Source organism: Homo sapiens, chromosome 14 (assembly GCF_000001405.40).
Source record: "Homo sapiens chromosome 14, GRCh38.p14 Primary Assembly".
NCBI lineage: Eukaryota > Metazoa > Chordata > Mammalia > Primates > Hominidae > Homo > Homo sapiens.
In genome coordinates this window covers 63,417,187-63,432,238 of record NC_000014.9, presented here as the reverse complement: position 1 = coordinate 63,432,238, position 15,052 = coordinate 63,417,187, and the positions used below count along the sequence as shown (strand labels likewise).

General features: G+C 38.0%; 1 protein-coding gene across 9 annotated transcripts in view; it reads left to right on the top strand.

The window, feature by feature from the left end:
* PPP2R5E (protein phosphatase 2 regulatory subunit B'epsilon) overlaps positions 1-15,052 on the top strand; it is a 172,014-nt gene that overhangs the window by 111,139 nt on the left and 45,823 nt on the right. For all 9 annotated transcript variants that reach the window (NR_104104.3, XM_047431543.1, NM_001282179.3 and 6 more), the window contains one exon: positions 10,145-10,246. Coding sequence is in view for 8 of the 9 variants with exons in the window: in XM_047431543.1 (XP_047287499.1) it covers positions 10,145-10,246 (102 nt within the window). In the remaining variant the exon portion in view is untranslated. The remainder of the gene's footprint in view (positions 1-10,144; positions 10,247-15,052) is intronic.

Genomic DNA, 15,052 nt, shown 5'->3' with positions numbered 1-15,052 from the left:
TAAATCTGTAGTGTATACCCAGTAGAGTAAAAAATAAATACTTGATGCAGGAAATATAAATAAAAATGATGTCTTCCTTGTGTGTTATGAAAATAGTACATGGCCAAGACTTCTATTAATTTAATACTGCCTTTTGAATATTGGCTATATTTAAAAATTCTAATTGGGTATTATAAGTTTTAAGCTTTTTTTTTTTTTTGATATTCCCTTTCTTCAATTGCCTGTTAAACTTCTGATCATTTTAATATGTTCTTTCTGCCTCATTTCAGGAATCATATTTAATAGAATAGTTGTTATGTCCTAGAAAGCCCTGCTAATACAGATTTAAGTATGACATTAAATGTGTAACAATAATTACTAATTATTCCTAAAGTATATTTGAATAATTACTAATTATTTCTAAATGTGTAACAATAATTACTAATTATTTCTAAAGTAATTACTCGCTTTAGAAATCTCCTTTTAAATCCTCTTCCGGATTTCTAGATGTTGTAAAACAAACCTCACAACTGTCACAAGTGCATGTTTCTTAGTCACATGTAAACAATGCACCCTGTCATTGGTTCAGTGAATGTCTTCACAAAAGTATAGAGCTTTGTCCGCAAATGCAGTTTTATGATAAAGATATGGACAGGCTTGCTGGAGTGGCTTGATCATACCTACTTGTTACAGTATTTCAGATAGTTCTTATCATGCAACTGAGATCTACATTTGTGATAAACAAGGATATTGAGGAGATTGTTTTGACTCAAGGAATCATATGTAACTCAAATAAACATGTTTGGAATAATAATGTCTGAAAATTATAATTATTGATGACATTACATAGCAAATACAGTTAAATATTTAATGTGTTAGGCAATAAAGCTAGACCTGCAGTGGATGGCTTATTCTAGGAAATTGTCAAACTGACTTAAATTTAAATTTCTGATCCTTAGAATTAGGTGTTAAGGACATGCTTTTTTTTTTTTTTTGATAGAGTCTAGCTCTGTCGCCAGGCTGGAGTGCAGTGGCGTGATCTTGGCTCACTGCAACCGCTGCCTCCTGGGTTCAAGCAATTCTCCTGCCTCAGTCTCCCGAGTAGCTGGGACTACAGGCATGCGCCCCTATGCCCAGCTAATTTTTGTATTTTTAGTACAGATGGGGTTTCACCATGTTGGCCAGGATGGTCTCGATTTCTTGATCTTGTGATCTGCCTGCCTTGGCCTCCCAAAGTGCTGGGATTACAGGGGTGAGCCACCATGCCTGGCCAGGACATGCCTTTATACTATAATAACAGATTTGAATGGTTTCTTAAATTCAGATAACTTTTAAGTAGCTGTGTTAATTCATATAGATGACAAGGTTTAAAAAAAGACTTTATACCTAGTCTGAAGTGGAAACTACAGTAGATTTATTGTGGTAATTAAGATACATAGTTTGGCTTTAGAAACAAATTATTTGATTGAACAAATTACCAGTGAATTAAATTAAGCGGTAATTGAAAGCTTACAGATTTTGCCATTTGTTTCCTAATTAAAGTATCGGCTTAAAAGATATTTGTCTGCTCTGATTCTAAGTCCCTCAGGCATAATTACAAATGCTTTGAGATCTTTCTATGTTTATTTATCAATAATTATCTATAATTAATTTAAAGGAGCTGACATTTAAAAATGTCAGATTTGAGAGGTTCTTTATTATTGAGACCATTAACAACTCTTAAATTTGGTGTTACCAAAAGTAACTTGACGTTATATATGTTATTATTTATTATTTTTATGTTAGAAAATTTGGTTAGAATTTTAGTTCTTATTCTTACAGTTGAATATGTATGTATGCATGTATGTATGTATGTATGCATGTATGTATGTATGTATGTATGCATGCATGTATGTATGTATGTATGTATGTATACATGGGTTTTCTCCATTGTGGCCACTCTGGTCTCCAACTCCTAGCCACAAGTGATCCTCCCGCCTCGGCCTCCCAAAGTGCTGGGATTACAGGCGTGAGCCACTGTGCCTGGTGTTAGGGTTGAATATTTAATATAAATTCTAATCTGTTTGAAAATAGTCTTAGGTGTTTAAATGTCTGATTTAGAGATTTAAAGTAAGTCTTGCTTATATTCATATTTTTGTTTCAGATTTAATTGTTTTTTAAAAAATGACATTCATGGTAAATATTGATGATTTGCCTATTTTCTTTCAAGGTTCAATTTCACCGTATCTACTTAGATTCATCTTTTGTGCTAACATAAAATATTATGAAAATAATACGGCCGGGTGCAGGGGCTCACGCCTGTAATCCCGGCACTTTGGGAGGCCAAGGCGGGTGGATCGCCTGAGGTCAGGAGTTCAAGACTAGCCTGACCAACATAGTGAAACCCCATCTCTACTAAAAATACAAAAAATTAGCTGGACGTGGTGGCGGGTACCTCTAATCCAGCTTCTAGGAAAGCTGAGGCAGGAGAATCACTTGAATCGGGGAGGTGGAGGTTGCAGTGAGCCAAGATGGTGCCATTGCACTCCAGCCTGGGCAACAAGCATGAAAATCTGTCTCAAAAAAAAAAACAAAAAACAAAAAACAAAAACAAACAAACAAAAAACCATGATGACCTAAGTGACAGCATTGCATTTACTAGCCCCTCCTGGTTGTAAATGATTAAATCATTTTGGTTTCTTTCTAATGCATAATGAATTATTGAATGAATGAATACATAAACTGGATGAGAAAACTCAGGGATACCATTGAAATTGTTACTTGCATGATGAGGTCTTAATGTGAATAGTGCTGGAGAAATAGTGGCAACTTTAAATTTCCTGGAATGTTTTCTGTTTATCATCATTCATATAGTCTTTTTGGTTAGAAAATTTACCTTTTAGATGTAATCTTAAAATTCACTTTATAGCCATGATAACATTCTTTTTGTATTTATAGTTGATATGCTTGCAATATTGTATAATTGTATGAACTTACAGTTTCACAGATGAAAGGGGGAAAATATCTTTGAGGTCAGCTAGTTCATCTGCTTTTATTCAAGAAAGATGATACTCAACCATCTAGAAAATACATTCTAAATCACAAAGATGATTTAAATTGACTTGTTATACTGTGGTACAAGTGGTCCCCTGATCACATTACATGCCCAGTGTACCAGAGCCTCAAATCTTAACAAAAATATAACTACAGGAAATTCAAAGTATTCATGAATTTTAAAAAAGCACTCATTGTATTGTCCTTATCTTTCGTGTGTATTTTTTTGTTAATATTGGCAGATATTTAATGAGTAGCTATTAGGTGCTAGCCACACTCTGTTCTATTATAATATTTTCCTTAACAACAAAATGCCAATCAAAATCATAGTGTAAAATTAGTAATTTCTATGGAAATGGATTAGGAATGGTGATTTTTTTTCTGCAGTAATTTAAATAACTATTTAGAAATATAACAGTTGTATTTTGCTCTTGCAAGTCAAAAAGTAGTAAGTTTAATAAAAAACTGATAAAAATATGCCTAAATGCTTCTTCCTCTTTTGTTTATGAGGTCATGAACTTGGAAACTTTGTAGTCTCTTCTTTCACATTTGGCCAAGAATTTGACTTTTTTTGTTTTTGTTGCAGCACCATACTTAACAATAGTCAGCAGTAAACTAATGTACTGAAAAATAATAGAGCAGCCGGGCCCTGAAAGCAAGCAGTTATGAGGTCCTTGACCTTGCCCCTTCAGTAGAGGTTCTTAATATTAGTGTTATTTTAGGGTTGTCAGATTTAGTAAATAAAAATACAAGGCATCTAATTAAATTTGAATTTCAGATAAATAGTGAATAATTTTTTAGTATAAGACAGTCCCAAATATTGCATGGGACGAACTTATACTGAAAAATTATTTGTCGTTTATCTGAAAGTCAGATTTCACCAGTGTCCTGAGTTCTATTTGGCACCTCTAGTTATTTTCATTTATTGTATATTAGGTGCCAGACATTCTGAGATGAATAGAGTCCTTGAGTGCTTCAAAATCTAACTGGGGGAGACAAAAAGAAGGGATGTGAGGAAGAGAGTACCGGAAAGGAAACTGTGCAGTAATCAAGATGTTTGCTGCTGGAGGTCTGAACCGGCAGTGGGGATGAGAGATCGTTATAGTTCTTTGTTAATGCTGAGCGAAGTCATCCTTTGAGTGGCACTGGCAGGCAAAAAAACTCGGAAGGAGCTGATGAGAAAGGAGAGATGAGAAAATGAGAGTAGTAAAAATGTTAAAAAGAAATGGGAGTAGGGAAGATGAGAGGAAAAAGAGAGAAATAAAGAAGTCAGGTCCATCCACGGTCTTCAGGGGTCAGGGTGGAAGTGATGTATCAGAAGGAACCCTGGGAACTTTCTCTGTGTTTCATGGTAATTTGTTACCCTGAAAAACTTGCAAGCTCTTTGCACCACAGTTTCCTAAGATGAAGGGGCTGGATAAGATAATTTCTAACCTGATCTGATTCTAAAAGCTCGTTAGTGGAGGTTTTCTGTCTTTGAAGAGGGGTTGTCCAGGTTTTGACATCCTTTCCTCCCATCCCTTCAGCCTTGCTTTGTCCTTATAGCCACTTTTTGGAGGCCAGGCCAGTGACTTCAAGCCTCCTTTTTTTCTTTCTTTCTTTTTTTAATAGAGAGATGGGGGTCTTGCTATGTCACCAGGGCTGGTCTTAAACTCCTGGCCTCAAGTGATCCTCCTGCCTTAGCCTCCCAGGCATGAGTCACTGCTCCCAGCCCCTTCAAGCCTTTAGTTTGATCCTAACATCCGATGTGTATTCTAATATCTTTGGTATGAAAAGGAATTAGACTACCTCAGAGGCATTTATTTCTTAAACTTTTTTTTTTTACTTTGCACTGACACCAGTGTAGTTTAAAATACAATATTTGAAAAATAAATGTATCTAATATACTGTAAAATTTCCTTTTGTTCATTTTTGATAGTCCACTTTTGAATGAATAAAATAGGAGGTGTAGGGCTAGAACCTCATATATTTTAATATAATAGAGACCGTTTGTGACTTTGGAAATACCTGAATGCATTTTAATCTAGCCGCATAGGCTCTTCACAAAACTGTTGCATGGTGGGGAGTGATGTTGGTGCTTACTCATGGCTGTGATACATTTGCATAAGCATGCAAGTGCCCTATTTAATAATCCATTTAACCGTAAACTATAAATTAAAAGTGACTGCCAGTGATAAAGGAAGATTTAATGGAAGCAAATTTACTATTTAGGACCTTGGTTTTTAACCATTTTTAGATCTTGGAAGTCTTTTGAAAATCTGATGAAGGCAACTGGCCTTTTCCCAAATTGGACTAACATACAAACTGTTGCAGATAAATCAGGGGATTTAGAGACACGCCTCCCCGCTTCCTCCCCCGTGCCCCAATGGAAGCCCATCCATGGATGACCTGATTTTAAATTTATGATTTTGGAGCTCAACTGTACAGTTAAACTGGTTCATTCATTTAATTCTTAAATCATTCATTCATGAGCCAAGCTCTCTGGTATTGTGGGAGGCTGTGATTTTTTTTTTTTTTTTTTTTTTTTGATAAGCCTTTGGCACTCCTGGAGGCTGTGATTCTTAACTCTCGCTTGACAGCAGTAGTCTTATATAAACAAGTTCAAGACCCATTTTCATCTTGCAATGGAAGGTGTAACTCACAGTGTATATCTTTAACGTATGCTTTAGGACTGTGTTTATCATTCATAGTCCTCTTGCTTTAATACAGCTTTTAATTTCCATTTAGTGGACCATTTACATTCTTATCCTTATAATCACACAATTTTCAATTGCCTTTCCGTCCAAATCTTTATTTATAAACTTTTTTTTTTTTGGTGCTCCCATATAGCCATCATCTTTAATGCTGCACAATATTCCACTGAGTTGATAAACCTCTCTGATGCCGGACATAAAGGTTATTTCCAGTTTTACATTTTTTGGAGAATGTTGCAAGTGACAGCTTTAAGTAGCTTTTTCACTCTTGTCTTGGATTAGTTTCTCAGGGCAAATTCTCAAGGATGGGAGTAATGGCTCATTTATAACATTTTTATTAAGTACCTAGTATATTCCAGGCTGGGTCAGAGGTTTGGCCATTTCTATGACACTTGATATGCTTTGCCATTCTTTCCCATTGTGGTAGAGAACTACTTCACCAATCCAGTCAACTCTGAATTGTCCAACCCAGCAGACATGTGCTTTCTCATTCCTCATTTGGTGAATGTTGAGAAGTAAACTAAATAAAGCATGACAGGAAGATAAATCTGAAGAAATGACAGTGTGTAGCTAAATGAAATGTATATACTTATAGAACTACCTGCCTTTTGGATTATTTACCCAACTTGGCCTTCTTTTGCTGTAACTGAGAGATGAAGTTTTGACTAAGTCAGAAGATTAGAACACAATATAGGGATAAACATCCTTAGAAATAACTTAAATTTATTCAAGTCACCAAGAAAATGTTGAAGTTTGTTTAAAGCAAAACCACAATACCCAGCTTTATTAATATATCCAAACTTCTATTTTGTGAATATTTATTAAATGCTTAGTATATGCTGGGAAGACAAATGTGTTGTATATTCCTAATTAGTTATTAGTAGGGAGAGACAAATACCTAAACAGATAGTTGCTGCAGCGTGCAGTGGACACTGTAAGAGAGTTTATATGCCCAGGAGTACAAAGGAAGAGAAGTTTCTGTTTCTTTACCCAGATTTTTTACTATAGAGAAGCCCCCTTTTCCCCCCTTTCATGGTTTACTTTCATGTCTTGGGAGAGGAAAAACACTTGTTAAAAAGTGTAGTACGTATAAATGACTCAGTTGGGATGAAGACTCAGTTTTTGAATTACATGTATAGTTTAATGAAGATTCAAAGTTGAGTAATTAAAGAACCTTTGCCCTGTCAATTACATTATAGCTGGCTGGTTGAAGGGAAGTCGTAGGTTGATAGTTATCTGAAAAGTCATTTATTTCTTCATAAAAATAATTTCTAGTAATCACTGGAAGGGACAAAAATAAAACAATAGAACTGTGTGTGCTGTCATTAGCGATAGCAAAAGCATATTCTCACATGATCATTTTTTTCTGTCATCTAGGCTAACGAATAAGAAAGTTGGTCTACCTTTTCTTCTAGAAAGAACACTGGGGATCCTGACAGCCTGGGTCCAGTTATAACTCTGCTGGTTACTAATTGTAACCTTAGAGCTTAATAACACCCATGCTTCTATTTCCTCAATGGTAAATCAGGGATCGTAATAGTGTACACTTCATAGGACCACCAAGTCCAATAGATACGGCTCTATGCTCATCTTAGTCAATGCTCTGAACAGCATTTGCTGCTCTTGACCTCTTCCTTAAAACACTATTCTCTCTTAGCTTCTGAGACCCCAAACTCTAGTTCTTTTCTATTATCCCCTGCTTCTTTTCATTTGCTCTTCTTTTTCTACCCAATTTCTAAATACTGGGTGCCCAAGGACCCTTTCTGTCTTTTTTTTTTTTTTTGAGATGGAGCCTGGCTCTGTTGCCCAGGCTGGAGTGCGGTGGTGAGATCTCGGCTCACTGCAAGCTCCGCCTCCCGGGTTCACGCCATTCTCCTGCCTCAGCCTCCCGAGTAGCTGGGACTACAGGCGCCCGCCACCACACCCGGCTAATTTTTTGTATTTTTAGTAGAGACGGGGTTTCACCGTGTTAGCCAGGATGGTCTCAATCTCCTAACCTCGTGATCCGCCCGCCTCGGCCTCTCAAAGTGCTGGGATTACAGGCGTGAGCCACCGCGCCCGGCCGACCCTTTCTCTTCTTTTTGTTTACTCCTTTCCAAGGTGATCCCTTTGGTCTGGTGGCTTTAAGTATTATCTATATGCTGCTGAGTCTTATATGTCTCTGGTTCTGACCTGTCCAGCTCAGAGGTCCAACTTCATATTTCTAATTGCCTCCTAGATACTGCTCCCTTAATATGTCTCTAACTAGATCCCTGAATCTCTCCGCTAAAATAAGCAAGTAAAGAAATAAACTTTTCCCTTTTCCAGTAATCTCCATCTTCGGTTAATGGCCTCAGATCTATGTCTTGTCCTTAATTAGTTCTTTCACATCATATATCCAAGCCAGCAGCAAAGCACTACCTTTTTGAATCAGTCTATTTCTGTCTTCCCTACCATCCTTGCCAAGCCAGCGTCATTCCTTGTCACATTCACAGCCTTCTAACTTGTCCTCTTCCTGCCTATTCTATACATAGCTGTTGGAGTGATTTTTTTTTTTAAGCAAAAATCAGATCATGCCACTTCTCTGTTTTAAGATCCACTAATGGCCTCTCATTGCACTAAAATAAAATTGAATCTCCTTCCCGTAGCTTACCCATCTGAGCTCAGTTTCCATAGCTAGGAAATGGGGATAATTGTGGCTTTAACTAGAATATAGTAAGTTCCATGAGGGCATGGGTTTTTATCTGCTTTGTTCACTACTGTTTTCCTAGTGCCTAGAACAGTGTGTACACGTAATAGGCACTTAATAATTATTTACTGGATGAATAAACACATTCAGATTATGTGGATACCCCAAAGCCTTTCTTCTTTCCTCTTTCAGAGCAGTATATTATGTAGCTCAGTATTTTCTGCATTACATAGGAAGGCCAGCTAAGGCTTCTGATGCAATATCTCCTTTCTTTTTCCCTTCTCACTTTTTACGCATGTTCTCCTGTCCCTCCCTGTCTTATGTTTGGGTCATTAGGAGGATATGTTTGGGTCATTAGGAGAAAGATGAGTGGGTGAGTGGGGCAAGAAACAGAAACCAGAAAGGAATCCTGAGACTAGTACCAACAACATTTAAAACATAAACATTTTACTATAGAAATCTTGTAATAGGCCAGGTGTGGTGTCTCACGCCTGTAATCCCTGCACTTTGGGAGGCTGAAGTGGGCAGGTCACTTGAGGTCAGGAGTTCGAGACTAGCCTGACCAACATGGTGAAACCTGGTTTCTACTTAAAAATACAAAAATTAGCCGGGTGTGGTGGCATGCGCCTGTAATCCCAGCTGCTTGGGAGGCTGAGGCAGGAGAGTCACTTGAACCTGGGAGGCAGGAGGTTGCAGTGAGCCAAGATTGCGTCACTGCACTCCAGCGTGGGTGACAGAGCGAGACTCCGTCTCAAAAAAACAAAAGGAAATATTGTAACATATACAGAAGTAATAGATAGTATAATGAATCCTTATCTCTTCATCACCCAGTTTCAACAGTTATCAACTCATGGCCATGTTTTGAACAACCATTGTTTAATTTGGATCTTGCCTATAGTTAAGGAATGCCTAGTTTATAGAGGTTTATATCACAGATAGGATTTTACTCTGGGTATCATTACTATTTTGTAAACCAACTTGTTGAGGACAGATAAGGAATATTTTTAAGGTTATTAGAAAAGCCTGAAATTTCACTGTTATTTCAACCATAAGTTTGCAAATAGTGAATAAGCCTGATAAGGGAAGCACATGAAGCCCATTACCAGTTTTTTTTTTTTTTTTTTTTTTTTTTTTTTAAATAGACGGAGTCTCGCTCTTTCATCCAGGCTGGAGTGCAGTGCCGCGATCTCGGCTTACTGCAGGCTCCGTCCTCCGGGGTTCACGCCATTCTCCTGCCTCAGCCTCCCGCATAGCTGGGACTACAGGTGCCTGCCACCTCGCCCGGCTAATTTTTTGTGTTTTTAGTAGCGACGGGGTTTCACTGTGTTAGCCAGGATGGTCTCGATCTCCTGACCTCGTGATCCCCCCACCTTGGCCTCCCAAAGTGCTGGGATTACAGGCGTGAGCCACTGCGCCCGGCCAGCAGTTATTTATTTCTTATGTCAGTTGGTTAATCAGAAACATGCTTGACTGGTAAGTAACCAAGAGCAGGCTTTGATGGGAGGTATGAAATCATGGGGACCTAGGGAGGGAAGGGTTAAATAAGGACGATTAATAGTGTTCAAGAGAGTAGGATGGTGCTGCTTTGCTACTTTCCAGCTTGCCTGGAGGTGGTCCCCACCTCAGAGCCTATAGAAAGAGGTCCTTATTCTAGTTTGGTGATGTTCCTTGTGCATTGTTATCTGGGTTCCCCTCAGCTTGGCTCCAAGGACCTTGTGTAAAACTGTGCAGAAGGTGCTTCCCGTTAACTCTGCTGCTTGTTTATTTTTAGGTATCTTGCAATATATTCAGAACTCTCCCTCCTAGTGACAGCAATGAATTTGATCCAGAAGAAGATGAACCTACCCTTGAGGCATCGTGGCCACACTTACAGGTACTTTGAAATACCATTTGTTATAAAAGAAAACTCCATTAACTCATTAGCTGATTAGCATGGGAATTCCTTGAAGGGCTTTATTCACCAAGAAATCAAATTAGAGTACACTAATGGAAAGTTAGAGAATGTTTTTTATGTTTCTTATTCTTGATAATTAGAATGCCAAAAGAATAAAATAGTGTCAGTGTGATGCTTTAGTGTCCCCCAACCCCACGTTGCAGGTACAGCCAGCAGTTCTTATTTCTCTATTAGAGCTTCTTTATGATCCTGCCCTCTAGAGCCTCCAACAAAGCACAGAATTATTTTCACATTAGCATTAGTTGGATGTGATTAGCTCACAGAGTATATATCTCATTTTTAGTGGTATGTACCCTGGGAACTTTGTATGTCTGTCATCACATTAACTACAAATGTGTTTCTTTAGTTAGAAGGACAAAACCAAACTGTAATAGCTATTTCGTTCACAGTACTGTAAGGAAGAGTAACAGCTGAGAGAAAGCTTGGGTAAAGGCCAATTCTGTTCTCTTGCACTGAGAAGGCCATGTTTTCCAATCACACTTATGTGCCAGGATGGATCAGGGGCATCACTGCATCTCTGTTTCCAGCATTAGAGCCATCTGTATTGTATTAACTTGTATAATACATACTGGTAATTTTCCAGCTCGTTCCTTCCTTGTGCTGCCTTCTCTGAAGGCCAAAATTTCTCAAAAGAATAGAGCAAGGAAATTTGTACATGTTGAACCCCAAAGTCACCCTTCCATTGAGTCAGAATATCCTTAGGTTGCTCGACAAATAGCAAGGGGGAAGGGGTGGAAGAAAATGAATAATACCTTGTACATCTTCACCCCTAGGCAGAAGCTGCTGCATTTTCGTAGAAATGTATTCATGGTTCAGGTTGACTTTTTTTTTTTTTTTTTTTTTTTTTTTTTTTTTTTTTGAGACGGAGTCTCGCTCTGTCGCCCAGGCTGGAGTGCAGTGGCGGGATCTCGGCTCACTGCAAGCTCCGCCTCCCGGGTTCACGCCATTCTCCTGCCTCAGCCTCCCAAGTAGCTGGGACTACAGGCGCCCGCCACTACGCCCGGCTAATTTTTTTGTATTTTTAGTAGAGACGGGGTTTCACCGTTTTAGCCGGGATGGTCTCGATCTCTTGACCTCGTGATCCGCCCGCCTCGGCCTCCCAAAGTGCTGGGATTACAGGCGTGAGCCACCGCGCCCGGCCTCAGGTTGACTTTTTGAAGAGCAAACAAACTGTGCAGCAGAGAGAGAAGGCCTAGAGATATTCTAAGAGTTTTTCCCCCCTACTTCAGAATTTCTGACACAAATTTGCAAGTCTGTCTGTCCTGCTTTGACAACTCAAAGTTTCTGCAAGTACACACGTGTGCTATTTCCCGTTGTTACGTAGAGAGCTTTTGGGGGCTCTGTTTTCTCAGCTCTTACTCAGGCGTGTTATGCATATGTATTCCTGCCTCCAATGCTAAGACTGGGTAAATTAGTTAAAACACGGTAATTGATTTACTATCTTAGATGTTTGATTTTTTTTTTAAGGTCCCAGACATATTGTCTGCAATCTAAGAAACTTGTAAAACTATTTGTGCTTTTCATAGGTATATCCCAGATTGTGACACAATCCAAAAAAGAATTACTTTTTTGAATGGGTGAATTGTCATGTCTTACTCTTAATGTTTGGTGACAGTTCATTGAATTACAGTTTAGTCTGGAAGAAACTTAACAACAACAAAAAGACGATCTCCTCAGTAGTCTCACATCTTATGGTGGAAAAGACAAGGAAAGAGATGTCTTCAAAGCCTCAGCATATTGTCTTCTCTGTATTCGAAAGAAGACATTGGGACCACTCTTGCCATTTGCAAGAGCTTTTTGAATATTCTATGTCATGATAACCATAGACATAAATTTCCCCTAAAGTACAATAAACTTTTACTCATTATTACAGTTAATCCTTCCCATACTTAATGACTCTGTAAAATACAGGACCAAATTAATTTCTGAAACTCTTTAATTCTGCCACAAAAAACCACTCTAGCTTACACTGTCATTACTGCAGGAATATTAACCATTAGTTAATCTGAAATCCTAAAACCAAAGAAACAGTGAAGAATGGTAATGAGACCTGTGCCCTTTTGGATATAAAGGCAGAAACGGTATTATAATATGGGCTGGTTTCATGTGTGTTGACATCCTGTTCAAGGTTATTATCCTTTGGTCCTTTCTTTAGCTCAAGGGGAAATATGACCTACTAATGCTGGATCAGGTGAAGGAACCTTTTAAAATTCGTAAATCAACCTTCATTCATAGTAAAGTTTAGGTCACTAGGCACACTGTTGCCTTCACCATCTGTTGCTTTTGGACCAAGGCTCCTGACTTGGTCTCAAGAATCCTGTGTTTCCTTTGTATATTCTTATAGCACAAATTAGCCACCTTTCCATTTTCAGTGTTAGGTGGTTTTAGCACTAATGAGGGCAGTCACTGAATGTATAAGAAGTCTCTTTTTCTTTTCATGATAGGTCATTCATGTCATAGTCACCTATCATGAAGTTTAACATTTTACTTTTTAGTTGATCCAACTGTCTATTTTTCTGACCAAAACACAGCATAGTTTTAGACCTTTTCACTTTTTATTAACTTCATAATTAGCAGTACGCTTCCTTTTCTGGAACACATTTTGCAAGGAAGAAAGTATAAATACCTGACGGGAGGAGGTCAAAACAACAAAATGACATTGAGATGTGGTTGTTGAGTGGTTGGCTGTGCTCATTGCCCAGCTAATTGACTGCTCCTGCATACCTTTTTGATTTAAATTTGTGGCATACACAAAATTACCCATTGGCCGGACGTAGTGGCCCATACCTGTAATACTAACACTTTGGAAGGCCAAGGCGGGTGGATCACTTGAAGCCAGGAGTTTGAGAGCAGCCTGGCTAACATAGTGAAACCTCGCCTCTATGAAAAATACAAAAATTAGACAGGCGTGGCAGCACACGCCTGTAATCCCAGCTACTTGGGAGGCTGAGGCACGAGAATTGCTTGAACCTGGGAGGCGGAGGCTGCAGTGAGCCAAGATTGCGCCACTGCACTCCTGCCTGGGCAACAGAGCGAGACCATCTCACCAAAAAAAAAAAAAAAAAAAAAAGTAAAAAAATTACTGATTATAACAAATTGTGGATCTTTTGGGATCTTTAAAAATAGACAAAAGAATAATTTTTAGTTCAAATATGTCAAAGGGGTCTACTCTGTATGTTATTCAACCTTTTCAGTTATCCAAAATAGTATCTTGTTTATGTATTTTCTGAAATTAGGTGTGTCTTCAGTAGAATACAATTTTATAGGACTTTCATTTACAATTAAGAATTTGTTTTTAGTGCTTTCCGTTTGAGACTGACAAACAGGAATGCTAGTCTTCTTACTAAAGTTCCTTGGAGAATTCATTTATGTAACCTTGAAAAGTAATTTGTCCTCCCCAGCCCCCAGTCTTTCTCTTTAGAAACTTAAGGGAGATTTTTGATTTTGACGTAGAATCTTTCTCTTAAGTGCAGAGAACACTTATGCTTATTAATAAATATGTCTGAAGTGTTTCCACCAAACATTTTAGACCATAACTGCTTTCAAGTGACCAGAGAGGAGAGAGCACTTTGCCAGTCTTGCTGGAAAGCCTTGCCAGTCCACAGGCCAGCTTAGAAGATGAGAATCTCCCCTCTTTGTGGCAATCGAAAGAGGGCTAAAACCCACTTGATGGGGTCATTTGAATAAGGCTGACATTCTGTATGTAAAACTGAGAGTTGACAGATGAGTGTATTAGAAAAGGAACAATTCTCTGAGGTCTTAGGACTTGGGCATTATTTTGACTAGCAAAATAACATGTGAAATTTGGCAACGTCCGGATCATTAGGAAAGAAATTTTTCTGAATTCAGAGAGTTCCAAGGAGAAAAACATAGTTTTATAAGGAAGTAAAATGCTAACGTGAATCCCTAATTTAAGTCTTAAATTAGAGTCTGACGTGAGAAGAAACATTTAAATCAGTGGTATCTGTGGACCCTTAGAGGGGCTCTGAGACCTGATTTTCCATGTCCTGCAAGGTCAAAACTACCTTTATAACAGTGCTGTATATATGATTTGTCCTTTCACTGTGTTGACGTTTGTACTATTCATTGCAAAAGTGGCGGTGGTTAAAATTGCTGCTACCTTAACGAGAATCAAGGCACTTGTGTCAAACTGGTTGAGTATTCTTCACTGCCACGTACTTGTAATTAAAAATGTAAAAAAGCCGATTTCACTTGAGAACATCTTTGAAGAAACAGTGAAAATTAATAATTTTATTACATTTTGACCCTCAAGCACACATTTAAAAATATTCTACATGATACAATGGGAAGTATGCATAGTAACATCCACTGCATACTGAAATATAATGGTTATCTTATGGAAAAGCATTTGTGTAATAGTTTTTGAGCTGTAACCCAAACTAGCCTTTTTTTTTTTTTTTTCCTCCTCATGAAACATCATTTTTACTTGAAGGAATGACTAACAAACTATGATTATTCAGGCTTGGGTATTTGGCGGATATTTTGTCTGAAACAAACAAGAAAACCATTTGACAATATTTGTTACCACTGACAAAATTAGAGCATTAATGCAGAATTTAGAATTAGAATTTTAGAAAACTTGTATCTGTCTTGCATCTGTCACCTTGAGCTTGCAGCTTCCCAAAGCTTAAAGACTTTTTAAAAATAAAATTGAGATAATAAAGAATGTGATTTTTTAGATACTGTATAATAAAACATGTCAAC